The sequence below is a fragment of the Homo sapiens genome, chromosome 4, assembly GCF_000001405.40.
Source record: "Homo sapiens chromosome 4, GRCh38.p14 Primary Assembly".
Taxonomy (NCBI): domain Eukaryota; kingdom Metazoa; phylum Chordata; class Mammalia; order Primates; family Hominidae; genus Homo; species Homo sapiens.
Window position 1 is genome coordinate 139,460,516 of NC_000004.12, and position 19,093 is coordinate 139,479,608.

Genomic DNA, 19,093 nt, shown 5'->3' on the forward strand with positions numbered 1-19,093 from the left:
TAATGTTTATAAGTCAAAAAATATTTTATATGAAGTCACCTTATACCCTACCTTAAAACAGAATCAAATTGATACTTTATTTCTTAAAATGTGGTATTGGTGGTTGGAGAGATACCAAACTGGTTCTCTTGATTTGATTTGATTTGCATTGAAATTCAGTGAATGAGAATATGCGCAGTTCAGGTATCCTAAGAATGCTGAAGAATCTTGTGATCCCTTAGCTCAGAAACTTTTGGGCAGTTTCTGGTCTGAAAAAGACTTTGAATTGCTGGGGTTTGGTCCTGGGGCTGGCATGGTGTAAGTAATATACATTTTCACAGACCCAAGCTTTCCTACTATCTGAAGGATCCCAGGAACCAGGTCAGAATTCCTGTTGTTTTTCTAGCCTGATTTCAGAAGCCTATGATTCTCTTCTGTCACTTCTTACGAAGACGAAGAAGGCAGCATTGGTGTGTATATTCAGAGGTGGTGAGAAGAGAATTACTTACTTCTCTGGAATCAGTGGTCAAGATCTCTTGCTTTGGAGACTGTGTGAGGACTCTAAGCAAATTAGTTTAAGCAGAAAGGGAATTTATTTTTTCATATAACTAAAAAGCCTAGAAGTAAATTTCTCTGTCTGCCAGTTCCAACTGCAGCTCTACATGCCCATTCCTAAACTATGGTAGTGACAGGGAGTGTGGGGGTGCGAACCTCTGATTGGTCAGACGTAGGTCACATGCCCTCCCTGGGAGCCAGTGGTTCATGTGAATGGAAAGCAGGGGAGGGCCGATTCCCAAGGAAAATAGGGTGCTATTAATAGAAGGGAGAATGAGGGTTAGGCTGGAGAAAACAACATGCATTCTCTACAGAATCAGGTAGTCCACGTTTAAATTCTGGCCTTAAGACTTACTCGTTTTGTGGCCTTGGGTGAATTACTTAAACCTCAGTTTCCTCATCTGAAGATTGGGTAATTATTACATAGGGTTGCATATATTAAATAAGGGCATGTAAAGGACTTAGCAGAGTTCCTGGAGTATACATGGAATGTGCTAAGCCCCAAATCAATATTAATAGTTTAAGAGTAAATGCTCATTCCTTCAGGAGAGAGATGGTAGTGGGGAAAAAAAACAGGCAGTGAAAGAATAGGGAAAGAGGATGGATAACTAAGATTACTGTTCCAAATTGTGTGTATTTTTTCCTCTAAGGTGATAACTAATGCTTTCTCTCACTGCTTGCTCTCTTCCTTATCACCATTATTATTCTGTAATTAAATCCTTTATTTAAAAAAAATTTTGACCAGGCATGGTGGCTCACGCCTGTCATCGCTTGAACCTGGGAGGCAGAGGTTGCAATGAGCTGACTTCGTGCCACTGCACTCCAGCCTGGGTGACAGAGCAAGCCTCCATCTCAAAAAAAAAAAAATTTCATATATACGTATAATTCCTTTATATAAAACTTCATGAATCTCTAGTTTAAATTCCAATATCAAGTTTTAACAAAAATGGCAACCTAGCTACTGCTAAATACTAATAGTAGATTCTTGTTGTTGATGACAGCTCTTTTTTTTTTTTTTTTTTTTGACGGAGTCTCGCTCTGTCGCCCAGGTTGGAGTGCAGTGGCACAATCTGGGCTCACTGCAAGCTCCGCCTCCCGGGTTCACGCCATTCTCCTGCCTCAGCCTGCCGAGTAGCTGGGACTACAGGTGCCTGCCACCACGCCCGGCTAACTTTTTGTATTTTTAGTAGAGATGGGGTTTCACTGTGTTAGCCAGGATGGTCTCGATCTCCTGACCTCATGATCCGCCTGCCTCGGCCTCCCAAAGTGCTGGGATTACAGGCGTGAGCCACCGCGCCCGGCCATGACAGCTCTTTTGGTAGTTTTATTATCCAAAATGAGAAATGATCTGACTTTAAATTGATTTAATACTCTTTTTGCTTGACCTAAAATGTTAAAGGTTTTAATCCAAATTTTCCATCCCTGATTAACTATTAAATTTCCTTTTCCCCTATTCTTTCAAAGAACACATTTTTATTATTTCATGTAAAAGACCATCTATATAAGAACTACATAAGAGCTTCTGTTAACAATTTAAGTTGTAAAACAACATCATAACTGGTATTAGTGACATCTCAAGAGAACTCTTTGCTTTTTGTATGTGGAGTAGAAATGTGTGTGTCTGGTGTACAGAATCAAATGGCAAATCTTTGAAATAAATTTTAGCTTTCTGGAGTCTCTCTCAACCTCTACTGATTCTGAGTGCTGCCATTTCATGTATTGGTCTGTGTTCACTTAAACCCTGTTAAAATTTTAAAATAAATAAATTTTAGCTTCCTAAGAAGACAAGTAACAAATTTTTGTGATTATTTGAAAGGAATACTGCCTTTAAAATGAAGAATTTGGGCCAGGTGCCATGGCTCATGCATGTAATCTCAGCACTTTGGGAGGCCGATCAGTTGAGCCGAGGAATTCGAGACCAGCCTGGGTAACATGGAGAAATCCCATCTCTACAAAAAACACAAAAATTAACTGGGTGTGGTGACACACTCCTGTAGTCGCAGCTACTCAGGAGGCTGAAGTGGGAGGATTACTTGAGCATGGGAGGTGGAGGTTGCAGTGAGCCAAGATTGTGCCACTGTACCCCAACCTGGCAAGAGTGAGACCCTGTCATAAAAGATAATAATAATTTCTTTTTGAGATGGAGTCTCTGTCGCCCAGGTTGGAGTGCAATGGTGCGATGTCAGCTAACCGCAACCTCTGCCTCCCAGGTTCAAGCCTATTAAAGGCGTGTGCCACCACACCTGGCTAATTTTTCTGTATTTTTAGTAGAGACGGGGTTTCACCATGTTGGCCAGGCTGGTCTTGAACTCCTGACCTCAAGTGATCCACCCACCTCGGCCTCCCAAAGTGCTGTGATGACAGGTGTGAGCCACCACCCCTGGCCAAGTATATATTATGTTATCTTTATAATGTTTAAAATGGCAATAAGATTGCTGTGAGCACATATTAGCCATTTTTCCTAAGATATTTAAGTATTAAATTGGGAAAAATTTCTCTGAAAATATTTCCTAATTTAACATTTACCAGATGAAAGCGTCTCACTTCCTTGGGTCCAAAAGTATCAGTTTCTCTTCTTTTTTAAACATCATGAACCATTCCACTCATAGCTAAGCCTCAAGAGTTTTCTAGGCTTTGCTTTTCGCCTAGTGTCTGTCTGTCTGTCTCCTTCAAAGTTTTCTCTAGCCTTTTATGGTCAACAGTTTTTAATCAGTTGTCCTGTCGTGTATTGGCTGGGTCTCTCACTGCTCCTTTCCTGTCTCCTTGCCTTCTCATCTCAGTGTGCAGGCCTGGAAGGCAGCAGGCAGCAGTAGCCCTAAGCCTTCCCATCATTTAGTTATTCCATGAGAGAAATTTTGAAGCTTCTTTTTAGATATTCCTTTGTAAATGCCTCATTATTAGTTACGTTTATGGCTCTACAGTAAAGTGTAGAGTTATTTCAGGCTGGGCATGATGGCTTTTGCCTATAATCCCAAAGCTTTGGAAGGCCAAGGTGGGAGGATCACTTGACCCCAGGAGTTTGGGACCAGCCTGGGCAACATAGTGTGACCACCCCCCCACTGTCTCTACAAAAAGTAAAAACTTAGCTGGGTCTGGTGACACGCGCCTGTGGTCCCAGGTACTCAGGAGGCTGAGGCAGGAAGATTGAGCCTGGTAGGTGGAGGCTGCAATGATCCATGATTGTGCCACTGCATTCCAGCCTGGAGGGGCTGAGTGAGACCCCGTCTCAAAAAATAAAAATAAAAAAGGGGTAATTTCATACCTCTGTGTTCTGGAAGACTTGATATGATTAGAAAGCATAAAATTTTGAACGGGATTGATGGGAAGAGGAATACTGTTTTTTTTTTTTTTTTTTTTTTTTTTATACTTTAAGTTCTAGGGTATTCAATGTGCAGGTTTGTTACATATGTATACATGTGCCATGTTGGTGTGCTGCACCCATTAACTCATCATTTACATTAGGTATTTCTTCTAATGCTATCCCTCCCTTCCCCTAACCCCATGACAGGCCCTGGTGTGTGATGTTCTCCACCCTGTGTCCAAGTGTTCTCATTGTTCAATTCCCACCTATGGGTGAGAACATGCGGTGTTTGGTTTTCTGTCCTTGTGATAGTTTGCTGAGAATGATGGTTTCCAGCTTCATCCGTGTCGATACAAAGGACATGAACTCATCCTTTTTTATGGCTGCATAGTATTCCATGGTGTATATGTGCCACATTTTCTTAATACAGTCTATCATTGTTGGACATTTGGGTTGGTTCCAAGTCTTTGCTGTTGTGAATAGTGCTGTAATAAACATACGTGCGCATGTGTCTTTATAGTCTCATGATTTATAATCCTTTGGGTATATACCCAGTAATGAGATCGCTGGGTCAAATGGTATTTCTAGTTCTAGATCCTTGAGGAATCGCCACACTGTCTTCCACAATGGTTGAAGTAGTTTACAGTCCCACCAACAGTGTAAAAGTGTTCCTATTTCTCCACATCCTCTCCAGCACCTGTTGTTTCCTGACTTTTTAGTGATCGCCATTCTAACTGGTGTGAGATGGTATCTCATTGTGGTTTTGATTTGCATTTCTCTGATGGCCAGTGATGATGAGCATTTTTTCATGTGTCTGTTGGCTGCATAAATGTCTTCTTTTGAGAAGTGTCTGTTCATGTCCTTTGCTCACTTTTTGATGGGGTTGTTTGATTTTTTCTTGTAAATTTGTTTAAGTTCTTTGTAGATTCTGGATATTAGCCCTTTGTCAGATGGGTAGATTGCAAAAATTTTCTCTCATTCTGTAGGTTGCCTGTTCACTCTGATGGTAGTTTGTTTTGCTGTGCAGAAGCTCTTTAGTTTAATTAGATTCCATTTGTCTATTTTGGCTTTTGTTGCCATTGCTTTTGGTGTTTTAGACATGGAGTCCTTGCCCATGCCTATGTCCTGAATGGTATTGCCTACGTTTTCTTCTAGCGTTTTTATGGTTTTAGGTCTAACATTTAAGTCTTTAATCCATCTTGAATTAATTTTTGTATAAGGTGTAAGGAAGGGATCCAGTTTCAGCTTTCTACATATGGCTGGCCAGTTTTCCCAGCACCATTTATTAAATAGGGAATGGGAAGAGGAATGTTGTTTAGTCAGTCTCATCTAAAAACAAAGGGTTTTCTTAGGATTAAACTTCTTCTTCTTCTTTTTTTTTTTTTTTTGTTTTTTTGGAGACAAGGTCTCACTCTGTTGCCCAGGCTGGAGTGCAGTGGCACGATTATGGCTCACTGCAGCCTTGATCTCCTGGGCTTAAGCGATCCTCCCACCTCAGCCTCCCAAGTAACTGGAAGCACAGGTGCATGCCACCACTCCCAGCTCACTTTTTTTTTTTTAAGAGACGAGGTCTCACTGGTAGGAACAAAGTAGAGACAAGGTCTCACTGGTAGGAACAAAGTAGAGACAAGGTCTCACTGTGTTGCCCAAGCTGGTAGAGACAAGGTCTCTTTTGGTAGAGACAGGGTCTCACTGTGCTGTCCAAGCTGGTTTCAAACTCCTGAGCTCAAGTAATCCTCTCACCTCAGGCTCCCTAAGTGCTGGGATTACAGGTGTGAGTCATTGCACCCGGCCTGGGGTTAACATTTATCATTACCGCTTACATTTGTGGAGGACATCCACAGTTCTTTGAGGGCGGGTCTAAATTCTGCGTAATCATCTTTTTTTAATTTTGTTTTTATAAATGACATGCATGTTTGTTAAGGAAAATAGAAAAGTAGAAATAAAGGGAGAAATTACCTTGGAGACAACCATTGCTAATATTTTGGTATATTTCCTTTTCGTGTGCTTTTTATTTTTTATCTTGTGAATATAATTTGCTTAAAACATTATAAGTCATTTTTCATTGATGAAGTGATGCTTGAACATCTGAGTTACAGAAAATGTCATTAGAAGAGAAAAAAATCAGCTCTAGTTCCCTTGGATAGCTTTTATATAGGTCATCCAATTTATTACCAAAATATCTTTCTAAATGCTAAAGATAGAATTTCAAGGGTCTTTTCTTTTCTTTTTTCTTTTTTTTTTTTGAGACATAGTCTTGTTCTGTCACCCAGGCTGGAGTGCAGTGGCATGATCTCAGCTCACTGCAACCTCTGCCTCCTGGGTTCAAGCGATTCTCGTGCCTCAGACTCCCAAGTAGCTGGGACTACAGGTGCATGCCACCATGCCCTGCTAATTTTTTGTATCTTTGGTAGAGACGGGGTTTTGCCCTGTTGGCCAGGCTGGTCTTGAACTCCTGAGCTCAGATAATCTGCCCACCTCGGCCTCCCAAAGTGCTGGGATTACAGGCGTGAGCCACCATGCCTGGCCTCAGATATATTTTATTTGCAGATATTTTCTCCCATTCTGTGAGTTGTCTCTTCACTTTGATAGTGTCCTTAGAAGCACAAACTTTTTTTTTTTTTTTTTTTTTTTTTGAGGCAGGGTCTTGCTCTGTCACCCAGACTAGAGTGCAGTGACATGATCTCAGCTCACTGCAGCCTCTGTCTCCCAGGCTCAAGTGATTTTCCCACCTCAACCTCCCAAGTAGCTGGGACTATGGGCACCTGCCACCACACCTGGCTAATTTTTGTATTATTAGTAGAGATGGGGTTTCACCATGTTGGCCAGGCTGGTTATGAACTCCTGGACTCATGTGATCCACCTGCTTTGGCCTCCCAAAGTTCTGGAATTACAGGGATGAGCCACTGTGCCTGGCCTTCCGCCGCGCACCTCTTTCCCCACCACGCCCCCCGCCGCTTTTTTTTTTTTTTTTTTTTTTTTTTTTTAAGAGACAGGGTTTCCCTATGTTGTTCAGACTGGTCTTTTTTTTTTTTTTTTTTTTAATGGAACAACATTTTGATTTTTTTTAGTTTTTAAAAGTTTTTGTGGATACATAGTAGGTGTATATATTTATGGGGTACATTATATGTTTTGATGCAGGCATGCAATGTGAAATAAGCACATCATGGAGAATGGGGTATTCATCCCCTCAAGTATTTATCCTTTGAGTTACAGACAATTCAGGCCAGGTGCAGTGGGTCATGCCTGTAATCCCAGCACTTTGGGAGGCTGAAAGCAGGCAAATCGCTTGAGCTGAGGAGTTCAGACCAGCCTGGCCAACATGGTGACAACCCATCTCTACAAAAAAATAAACAAATTAGCCGGGTATGTTATCTTGCACCTGTAGTCCCAGCTACTCAGGTGGCTGAGGCAGGAGGATTCCTTGAGCCCAGGAGGTTGAGGCAGCAGTGAGCTGAGATCGTGCTGCTGCATTCCAGCCTGGGCAATAGAGCAATGTCCTGTCTCAAAAAAAAAAAGCCAATTACATTATTTATTTAAAAATATACAATTATTGTTGACTATAGTCACCCTATTGCCTATCAAATAGTAGGTCTTATTCATTCTTTCTGTTTTTTTTTTTTTTGTACCCGTTAACCATCCCCATCTCCCCTACCCCGAAGCCCCACTACCCTTCCCGAGCCTCTGGTAACCATTTTCAACTCTCTACGTCCATGAGGTGAATTGATTTGATTTTTAGATCCCACAAATAAGTGAGAACATGTGATGTTTCTCTCTCTGTGGCTGGGGAGGCCTTACAATCAAGGCAGAAGGTGAAAGGCATATCTCACATGGCAGCAGACAAGAGAAGAGAGCTTGTGCAGGGAAACTCCCCCTTTTAAAACCATCAGACCTCTTGAGACTTACTCACTGTCATGAGAACAGCATGGGAAATACCTGCCCCCATAATTCAGTTACCTCTCACAGGGTCCCTCCCACAACACGTGGGAATTCAAGATGAGATTTGGGTGGGGACACAGCCAAACCATATCACCTGATAACAAGTTAACACTCTTTTTACATAAACAAACAAACAAAAAACTAATAGAAACTGTATGCTTTAACTTCATCCTCCCCACTTTTTAACTTTTTCTTGTTTCTATTTATATCTTATTGTATTGATTATGTCTTGAAAAGTCATCGTAGTTATTATTTTTGATTGGTTCATCATTTAGTCTTTCTACTTAGAATAAGAGTAGTTTATACACCACAGTTACAGTGTTATAATATTCTGTATTTTTCTGTGTACTTATTATTACCAGTGAATTTTGTATCTTTGGGTGATTATGTATTGCTCGTTAATGTCCTTTTCTTTCTGATTGAAGTGCTGCCTTCAGCATTTCTTGTAGCAGAGGTATGGTATTGATCAAACCCTTCAGCTTTTGTTGGGGAAAGTCTTTATTTCTCCTTCATGTTTGAATGATATTTTTGCCAGATATACCATTCTAGGATAAAAGGTTTTTTTCTTCAGCACTTGGAAATATATCATGCCACTCTCTCCTGGCCTGTAAGGTTTCCATTGAAACATCTGCTGCCAGACCTATTGGAGCTCCATTGTATGTTATTTGTTTCTTTTCTTTTGCTGCTTTTAGGATCCTTTCTTTATTCTTGACCTTTGGGAGTTTGATTATTAAATGCCTTCAGGTAGTCTTCTTTGGGTTAAATCTGTTTGGTGTTCTATAACTTTCTTATACTTGAATATTGATACCTTCTTCTAGGTTTGGGAAGTTTTCTGTATTATCCCTTTGAATAAACTTTCTGTCTCTGTCTCTTTCTCTACCTTCTCTTTAAAGCCAGCAGCTCTTAGATTTGTCCTTTTGAGGCTATTTTCTAGATCCTGTAGGCGTGCTCCCTTGTTTTTTATTCTTTTTTCTTTTATCTCCTCTGTGTATTTTCAGTTAGCCTGTCTTCAAGCTTGCTTATTCTTTCTTCTGCTTGATCAGTTCTGCTGTTAAAGGACTCTGATGCATTCTTCAAGAATCTCTTTGTTGAATTTATCTGGTAGTATTCTGAATTCCTTCTCTGTGTTATCTCGAGTTTCTTTAAAACAGCTATTTTGAATTCTCTTCTGAAAGGTCACATATGTGTTTCTCCAGGATTGGTCCCTGTTGCCTTGTTTAGTTCATTTGGTGAAGTCATGTTTTCCTGGATGGTGTTGATGCTAACAGATATTCTTCTGTGTATGGACATTGAAGGATTAGGTGTTTATTGTGGTCTTCACTGTCTGGGCTTATTTGTAGCTGTCCTTCTTGGGAAGGCTTTTCAGACATTTGAAAGGACTTGAGTGTTGTGATCTAAGCTGTATCTGCCTTAGGGGTTACCCTAAGCCCAGTAACACTGTGGTTCTTGCAGACTCGTAGAGTTACCACCTTGATGGTTTTAGACAAGATCCAGGAGAATTCTCTGTACTACCAGGCAGAGATGCGTGCTTCCTTCCCTTACTTTCTTCCAAACATACAGAGTCTCTCTTTGTCTCTCTCTGTTCTGAGCAACCTAATACTGAGAGTGGAGGGACACAAGCACCCCTGTGACCACCACCACTATGACTGCACTAGGTCAAAGCCCCCTTTACTTTTGCCTCTGCACTAGGTCTAGACTGCACTAGACCTGAAGCCAGCAAAGCAGTGTGTCTCACCCAAGGCCTGCTGTAACTACTCCCTGGCTACCGCCTATGTTTACTCAAGGCCCTAGGACTCTACAATCAGCAGGTGGCAAAGCCAGCCAGGCCTGTGTCCTTCTCTTCAGGGTGGCAAGTTTCCCTAAGCCTTGGGTTGGTCCAGAAGTACCTTCCAGGAGTCAGGGACTAGAGTTAAAAATCTTAGAAGTCTACTTGGTGTTCTGTTGTACTGTGGCTGAGCTGGCACTCAAACTGCATGACACAGTCCTTCCCACTCTTCCCTCCCATTTCCAAAGACAGAGGAGCTTCCCACTTGTAGCCATTGCCACTCCAGGCCATGAGGAGTACTGCCAGACTACCACCAATGTTCCTTTAAGGCCCAGGGGCTCTTAAGCCCCCTTGTCATAAATGCTGCCTGGCCTGGGCCTCACCCTTCAGAGTAGTGGGGTACCCTCTGGCCCAGGGCAGGTCCAAAAATGCTGTCCAAGAGTCAAGTCCTGAAATCTGGGACCCCAAAGGCCCCCCTGTGGCCATGCTGGTACCAAAGGTACAAGACAGAGTCCCCTTTACTTTTGCCTCTGCTTTTCTCAAGCAGGAGTTTTGCCCTATAGCCACCACAGCTAATTATGTGCTGAGTCTCACTTGCAGTCAGCAAGTCTCAGAGGTTCACCCAAGACTGTCAATGTAGTGCCTGGGTATGCCAGCTGTTTTTTCAGGGCCCGAAGGCTCTTCAGTTAGCAGTGATGAATGCTGCCAGGACTGGATTTTTTCCTTCAAGGCAGCAGGTTCCCTTCTGCCCAAGGTGTATCTAGAAATGTCGTCTAGGAGGTAAGGCCTGGAATGAGGGCCTCACAACTCTGACCAGTGTCCTATCCTGCTGTGGCTGAGCTGGTATCTAAGATCAAGAGAGCATCCTCCCCACTCTTCCCTCTCCTCTCCTCTCCTCTCCTCAAATGGAGGGAAGTGGTCTTTTTTGGAGCTGTGAGCTGTGCAGCCTGGGGTTAGGGGAGGGGTGATGGCAGCACTCCCTTGGCTGTCCCAGCTGGAGTCTCAGTATGTCTCCTGTCTGCCCCAGCGCACTGTCTCTGGGCCAGTTTAGCACTCGGAGTTGCCTCAGAGTTGCAATGCTTGTGGCCTAGACTGCCTTTCAAGTTTACTTGGAGACACAGAGGGCAAGGTTTGTGGGAACTCATGTTTGGACTGCTGGGATTGGTGGTTCCCCTCTGGCTGGGGCTGGGTTAAGTGTTCCCTCTGTGGGTAGACATCAGCTGAGTTTGGTCCGGTTTTCCTTTTTGCTCTAACAGGGCAGAACTGAGTTCATTGCCTTTCATTTGCTGTGTTCTCCTTTTCCCAGTGCCCAGAGAGGCTCTCTGTACCACACCGCTGCTGCTCGGGGTGCAGGGGGTGGGTGTTGGCAATTCAGGACTGTTTTTTCTATCTCTTCAGTTCCTCTTTCAGCAATATGAGTTAAAACTAGGTACTATGAGTGCTCACCTGATTTTTGGTTCTTATGAAGTTTTTTTTTTTTTTTTTTCCTGTGTAGTTAGTTATTAACTTGGTGTCCTTGCGGGGCAGTTGGGGACATGATAGGTAGAGCTTTCTATTCTGCCATCTTGCTCCACCCTCCAATTTTGTTTGTTCAGGCTGGTCTTAAACTCCTGGGTTCAAGTGACCCTGATGCCTTGGACTCCCAGAGTGCTGAGCTACCGCATCTGGCTGCACAAATATTTTTAATTTTGATGAAGTCCAGTTTATTTTTTCCTTTGATTGCTTTTACTTTAGGTATCGTATCTTAAGAAACCATTGCCTAATCCAAGGTTACGAAGAGTTAAAGTTTTAGCTCTTAAATTTAGGTCTTTGATCCATTTTGAGTAAGTTTTTATATATGGTGTGAGATAGGGATCCAGCCTCATTTTTTGCATGTTGTCCAGCACTATTTATTGAAATGACTAATCTTTCCTGCTGTTGAATTTTCTTGGTAATCTTGTTAAAAATCAGTTGACCATAGATATATGGGTTCACTTCTGGATCCACAGTTCTGTTCCATTGATTTCTGTATCTGATCTTAGGCCAGTTTCACACAGTCTTGATTACTGTAGCTTTGTAGTAAGTTTTGACATCTATAGTTTTAAGCATTTTAATTCTATGTTGAGCATTTTTATTCATGATTTTTTTCTAGCCTTCTTAAGTTTTCAAGGGGTCCTGGATTTCATAGACATACACATACATGTATATGTTTGTTTGGAGGCTGGATCTCATAACAACATCTTTCCTAGGTTTAATATTTTAAATTAGACTAGTGAAAGGTAAAGAGGGGTGTATAGTAACCAAATTTACAGGAATTAAATGCTTAACATGTTAACACCTGATATATTTTTCTCTTAACATTTTAAAATAAAGTTTTGAGGTAAATTTTATTTAAACAAATTGGATTTACTGAAATTTAGAAAATCCTGTATTGAAATATTAGTTCCGACACTTGTATTATAATTTAATTGTGAGGTAACTGGTATCATGAAGTCTGGATCCCATAGGTAACACTGAAAAGACATTATGGAAGGGAGAAATCAAAATATTTTAAGTGAAGAGATAATAAAGACAATGCAAGATGATTACATTTCTTGATATGTATAATTGGAATGGGATTTTCAGTTTTCCTCTTTTTCTTCCCATTTTTAGATCCAGCTATGGGACACAGCAGGACAAGAACGATTCAGAAAGAGCATGGTTCAGCACTACTACAGAAATGTACATGCTGTTGTCTTCGTGTATGATATGACCAACATGGCTAGTTTTCATAGCCTACCATCTTGGATAGAAGAATGCAAACAACATTTGCTAGCCAATGATATACCACGGATTCTTGTTGGAAATAAATGTGACTTGAGAAGTGCCATACAGGTACCCACAGACTTGGCACAAAAATTTGCTGACACACACAGTATGCCTTTGTTTGAAACGTCTGCTAAAAACCCCAATGATAATGACCATGTGGAAGCTATATTTATGACCTTGGCTCATAAGCTTAAGAGCCACAAACCATTAATGCTTAGTCAGCCCCCTGATAATGGAATTATCCTGAAGCCTGAACCAAAGCCTGCAATGACGTGCTGGTGCTAAATAACAGTCTTTATTATATTATCTAATTTTGACTAAAGAAATACTTTTGAAGTATGACAGTATTAAGTCATAAGATTTAATCTCAACTATAATGGGTCATCTTGACACTTTGCTGTTTGTCATTGTCACGCTTTTGTATTTTGTATCTACTTAAGTTTGTCACTGTGACAACACAGGAAAAGTTGGTTTTCAGGTGAGATTGAAAATGAAGCAAAGATAGGATGAATCTGAACATCTCTCCATCTAGAGCCCAATGAAGGAAGCTTCAAATGAGAACATGATGGAATCAGTAACCATTCAATCTTTTGTCCTAGGATTGGAAAAAAATGTTAAAGGTTTAGGACACACCTAATAGTATGTCCTTTGAATGGGAAGTGTTCTTAATAGGATAAAAACTGGTATTTGCCTCTCCCCAGAGTACTTTTTTTGTTTTTTCATAGAGACGGGGTCTTGCTATGTTGTCCAGGCTGGCCTTGAGCTCCTGGGCTCAAGCAATCCTCCCACCTCAGCCTCCCCAGTACTGGGACTGTAGGTACTCACCACTGCATCTGGCCTTTCTTTGTTTTATTAACATATTTAGTTTTGTTATTATTGGTATGTTTTAGAGCCAAGACTTTAGTTCCAGTGGGATAAGAAGGCATAGAATGTTTTCTGGTTCCCAGTCCATAAAGAATGACTTTTCCAAGAGTTCTAGATGTTTGATTTTCTAATTAATACTTATCAGATCTACAAAAATCATTATTATTTTAAAAGAGTTATTTGAGTTTCTTTCTTTCTTTTTTTTTTTTTTTTTTTTTGAGATGGAGTCTCGCTCTGTCTCCAGGCTGGAGTGCAGTGGCGTCATCTCGGCTCACTGCAACCTCCGCCTCCCAGGTTCAAGTGATTCTCCTGCCTCAGCCTCCCGAGTAGCTGGGATTACAGGCGTGCACTACCACACCCAGCTGATTTTTGTATTTTTAGTATAGATGGGGTTTCACCATGTTGGCCAGGATGGTCTCGATCTCTTGACCTCATGATCCACCCGCCTCAGCTTCCCAAAGTGCTGGGATTACAGGTGTGAGTCACTGCACCCAGCCGAGTTGCTTTCTTACTAAATCCTATTAAAATATGCAAAAATAAGTCAGATTTTAAGGCAAATAAAGTGACATAAGGTGCTTTATATTTTATTTTGGTATATTTAAACAGTGAAAAACTAACTGAAAGCACATGAAGAGTTGTAACTTGGGGGAAAATAGGTAAACATAGCTTCTAGCTAACACAGGAGACCTATTCTTAGCCTTTACTAATTTCAAGCAGTGTATCCCATATGGTATCTCTTGCTCTTCCTTCAACTCCAATAAATTTAATGACTAAATGCCAAGTTAACAAATCAACTTCCATTTGGATTGTAGGTGTGAAGGCACAACTCTAATTGCTATTAGTCTACATGTATTTCTGTAATAGTATTGTGTCATATCAATTTTTAAGATGTCTAAATTTTATGGTCACAAGTTATCCCTCCTCAGTATGAAAAATAAATTAGATATTGAAAAATGTCTAAACTTCAGTGATGGAAAGAATATTTCAAGAAGTTTTTTAACCTAAATACTTTTATTTTGAATTTAAGTCTTTGCACATAAAATATAGCAAGCTTACATATTAAACTATTTACGTAAATGGAATGTAAGCCATGACTTTAACTGAAGTGTTCACATTCACTAATTTTGATAGATTGCTGTCCTTAATAATTTTGGAGGAAATTAAGCCAAATGATTATTGTACTACAGTATTTTCAGAATATGGGAAATCAATTAAAAATGTAATCTAATCTAGTTTAAGATTTTTGTTTAATCATCATGGTGGTCCTACCTGGATAATTTAACTATAAAGACAAAGTAATTCTATTAAATGAACTAACTGAAAATAATAATTATAGGAAGTGATTATTCCATTTTAAGTATTAGAGCTCAAATTGGCTTTATTTGCATTTAGGGAGATCATGTTTTCTTAATCATGCTGGAATTTAAAAATTGTTTTACTTGTATCGAAATTAACCTTGATTTATAACTATTTTTGTAATAAAACAATGACAGCTGTAGTAACTATGATGGGTGTAACAACATTTTTTTAAAGAAGGGAATCTGTTTATCGCTTTTCAAAATATTTTCTAAAGTGGGGGAAGAAAGTTTATAGACTTTCCAAGCACATTTATGGTTTTTTATTACTATTATTATGGTTTTAAAAAGAGTAACTTTATTTCTTTTTGTAAGGAATTAAGTAATATCCTTTACAGTTCTGTGAAAGGACTTATTTTTTAACTGTAATATTTATTAGTTTTAAAATATTTGTATCTCATTTGTAACAATTTGTTTTAATTTTTTATATATATGTTTTTATTTTTAAAAAACATACCAGTTGAATGGGGTTAAAGCTTTCAATATCTTAAAATATTTATAAAACATTTCACTGTTGCAAAATCACTTCCAAAATGATAGCTATCTAACAACTAATTACTAATTTTTAAAGAACAAATCACACATTTAAAAAATCTGTAGAATTTATTTTAACTATGACCTTTAATTGAAAATAAATAATTAAAATATCAGACATGTTTTGGAAAAGTCTTAATTTGAGAACACCAAAGGAAACTACCCCAGAATCTAATGTAGTTCGCTATTAATAACAATGCATTATTGAAAGTATATTGCAAATACATGTTTCCTCATGAAATCTAAGTAATTTTGTTGTGGAATAGTGTCACTGTTACATTTCCCCCATGAAGTTCAATAAACCAGCTTAGCCACAAAGAAATTGTGTTTTATTTTCTTTGTTTGGTTACTGGGTAGAGTATAAAATAAAACAATCTTTTTTTCCTCCTGGTTTCCAGATAATATTATATATATGATACACTTTTGAAAACAACAAAAAGCCCCCAACCCATTGGACAATTATTTTCTTGTATACATTTGAGGTCAAAGAACACTTCAGGAAAAAAACTCAACAAAGTATTAAAATTAGCTGATAACACAGCTTTTGTATTTGTGTGTTTTAGTAATCCAGCTTGTTTTAGAATAGTTCAGTGCAAAAAGCAAATGGTGCAAGAGGAGTTGATGTGTATTTAGACGTAAAAGCATTTAACAGAATGAATAACTATAGAAAGTATGAGAAAAGAGAACGAACTACGTCTCAGGTATAAGATTGCAGTTACTGATTTAGACACCATAGGATTAGGGATGTGGGGGCCTCTGATGTTGATTCTGCTTCCCCTGGTCAGTTTATTTTACGTATAAGTTACCCTTGTGTTCAAACACAAAATTGACATTATTCATGAAGGACTGCTTTCTTAATCAGATATTAAGAAGTTCGTCATGTATTTTGGGAGCACGTTTGCTACAGCCTGTGTGGCAAGGGCGAATGCACTTGGTTTGTTGGAATAACCTGATTTATCAAACATTTATCAAGTATGGGTCATGTGTTCTCTATTTGTGTTAGTGGAGCTACATAGACACTGTCCTTGAAGAACTTACAAAATAGTATATGAACAAATAGGAATTCTACAATATACTGTGATCAGTGTAATCAAAGAAGCATATACAAAGGACAATGAGCACAGAATATGGAGTGGTCTTTTGACTTGGATATGGGAGCAGTAGATAATCAAAAAGCTTCACAATGAGTGGAAGCATTTATGCAGCATCTCAGGGTAAATGTGAGGCATTCTCCATGTAAAGGAGAGGGAAGAAAGTCATCCCAGGTGAATGCACTGCAGGGCTCAAGAGTGGAGTTGAATTTGGGGGGAATGACTGCTAGGTCAGTGTGAGTATGTGATAGAATGGAGATGTGGTCAGAACACGGAAATGAAGCTAGCAAGGTAGATTTTGGTTAAACTGCCAAGTTGCCATAAGCAGTGGGATTAGGACTGGCTTGGGTGCAGTATCTGAAACTCAGTCTGAACCAGCCTATAAGGGGGATTTTAATGTAAGGAGTCTGACTTGTCTCACTGGACTTGAAGACAAGGATGTGACTGGACTAAAAGAAGAGCTGGGATTGAGCACACAGTTTCCTAACTCTGGGTCCAGCTTCTCTGCACATCTGCATTTTCTCTTTCTTTTATAACTAGATTTTTCCATTTTTTAAGTTTAATTAGCAGAAAACATGGCCACTGAGTACTTCTGAACTTTTGGATGCTGCAGTCATTCAAAGAGAAATGAACTCTCAGTCTCAAGTTGAAATTTCCAGCATAGACTGTTAATTGGCCTGGCAAGATCCAGGTGTCCACCCAAGACCAATGGCCAAAAAAGATAAAATAAGCAATTTCCACATTTAGGGGAGAAGGTATTTTGGGGGAAGGGGAGCAAAAAAAGAAGATAGCCACACAAAAACATTTGAACTTTACTATTTAGGCAATGGGTAACTAATGAAAGCATTTTGCAAGGTAGTGAGACCGTTAGATTTATGCCATAAATTCCAGCGGCAATGGGAAGGGTGAGGGGATGAAGTCATGGTCAGTCAGCTTACTGAAATAGCCTAGAAGAAACAGCTTTAACTGGAGCACTGGCAGAAAAATACAGATTTGAGATATTTCAGAACTAAAACCCCCAGGAGTTAGAGACCAAGGTCAGGAATTTCATTGCATGAACTAGTCAGTATTCTTTTCTAGAGCTGCTAGTTGCACTCATGTATGTGGCCAAATGTTTTTTTAAAATATCAGGCTTTGGTTTTATTTTTTAGATTATTACATTGCTTTAATTTGCCTTTATCAAAAGTTTGATTCTTGTGATTTATTTACATATATGTTTTTCAGAGTGTTTTGAGTCAGATGAAACTTGTCATTTAAAATTTTTAAGTTGTATATCCTAATGCTTTTTGGTATTTTTCTTGTTCTGAGTAGTTTAATTATAGAAGATTCTGTATATTTTTGAGTCCCAGAACATTCTTTAAATTACAAAAACAATTCAACTTTTGTTTTGGTTATTCATTCCATAAACTTAACAGAGTATATGGAGCCATTTTATTACTTCTCAGCTCCTCATTATTAATCTTTTCTTGCTGCAAATGGAGAGTTCCATGTTTCAATAAAATGTGATCAGTAATGGGACTTCTTTTTTTAAGTTAAATTTTTGTATAGGAAATACATTCACATGGTTCAATACTTGAACCATTCACAAAAGAGTAAATGGTGAATTCTCCTTCCCACTCTTTCTCCCAGCTCCTCAGTTCTTATCACAAGGAACCAGTACCATGAATTTTTTTTGTTTCTGTTTTTGTTTTGAGACAGGGTCTCAATCTGCAACCTAGGCTGGAGTGCAGTGGTGTGATCTCAGCTCACTGCAACCTCCACCTCCTGTGCTAAAGCAATCTTCCTACCTCAGCCTACCAAGTAGCTGGGACTACAGGTGCACGCCACAACACCCAGCTAATTTTTTGTACTTTTTGTAGAGCCACGGTTTTGCCATCTTACCCAGGCTGTTCTGGAACTCCTGGGCTCAAGTGATCCATTCACCTTGGCCTCCCACCCCAGTTCCCACGCTGGGATTACAGGTGCGAGCCACCACACCTGGCCCCTGAATTTGCTGTTTCTTCACATAACAGTATACCCTGGAGATGAATTCATGTTAAAATATGTAAGCTTCATCATTCTCTTTTAGGTCTCATGGAATTCCTTTAGTTGGCCATTATTTAGATAGCCCTCTACTGATGAACATTTAGGTTGTTTCCAGTCTTGCTATTACAAGCATTACCAAAATGGATATCATTTTACATAAGTAATTTCTCAAATGTGTGAGTATATACAAAGGGAAAATTCCTAGAAGTGACATTGCTAGATGAAAGGTATCTGTGTTTGCAATTTGGGTTTCTAATCGCCCTCCTCAGAGGTTGCACTAGTAATAAAAAGCATGCCTGATTCCTCACACACTCACAACACAGTCTATTATCAAAGGTTTTGACATTTGGAAGGAACATTAATAGGTGAAAAATGATATCTCACTGTGGTTTTAACTGGCATTTATCTTATGAGTAGGGTTGAGCATCTTTTTATATTTAATGTTTACATTTTGTTTTCTGTTGAATTGTCTGTTCACATTCTGTCAGGTTTTGTTTTTTTGCCTTTTGTAGGGATACTGAATATTTTGGGTAAGTTAGTGATGTTTTATTTTTTTTTCCTAGTTTGTTTTTTGCCAAATGGCATTGCTTCTAATGGTTTTTGGCATGAAAATAATTTTAATGTAGTGAAACTTAGCAGTCTTTTCCATGACTCTCATTTTGTGTCATAATTAGAAAGACTAACCTTGCCTGAGATAAGAATTCTCGGCCAGATGCAGTGGCTCACGCCTGTAATACCAGCACTTTGGGAGGCCCAGGCGGGCAGATCACTTGAGGTTGGGAGTTTGAGACCAGCCTGGCCAACATGGTGAAACCCCGTCTCTGCTAAAAATGCAAAAATTAGCCGGGCATGGTGGCAGGCGCCTGTAATCCCAGCTACTTGGGTGGCTGAGGCAGCA

General features: G+C 39.5%; 1 protein-coding gene across 2 annotated transcripts in view, besides 1 other annotated feature; it reads left to right on the forward strand.

Annotated features, from left to right (window-relative positions):
- RAB33B (RAB33B, member RAS oncogene family) overlaps nucleotides 1–16,094 on the forward strand; it is a 38,234-nt gene extending 22,140 nt beyond the window's left edge. For both annotated transcript variants that reach the window (XM_011532299.2, NM_031296.3), the window contains one exon: nucleotides 12,171–16,094. In XM_011532299.2, the coding sequence (XP_011530601.1) occupies nucleotides 12,171–12,611 (441 nt within the window). In that variant the 3' untranslated portion in view covers nucleotides 12,612–16,094. The remainder of the gene's footprint in view (nucleotides 1–12,170) is intronic.
- Nucleotides 10,798–10,937: a silencer, noted in NCBI's record as "silent region_15701". NCBI's record gives its function as "represses an Ori minimal core promoter by ATAC-STARR-seq in GM12878 lymphoblastoid cells {active_cell/tissue: GM12878}" and the evidence as "EXISTENCE:reporter gene assay evidence [ECO:0000049][PMID:35858748]".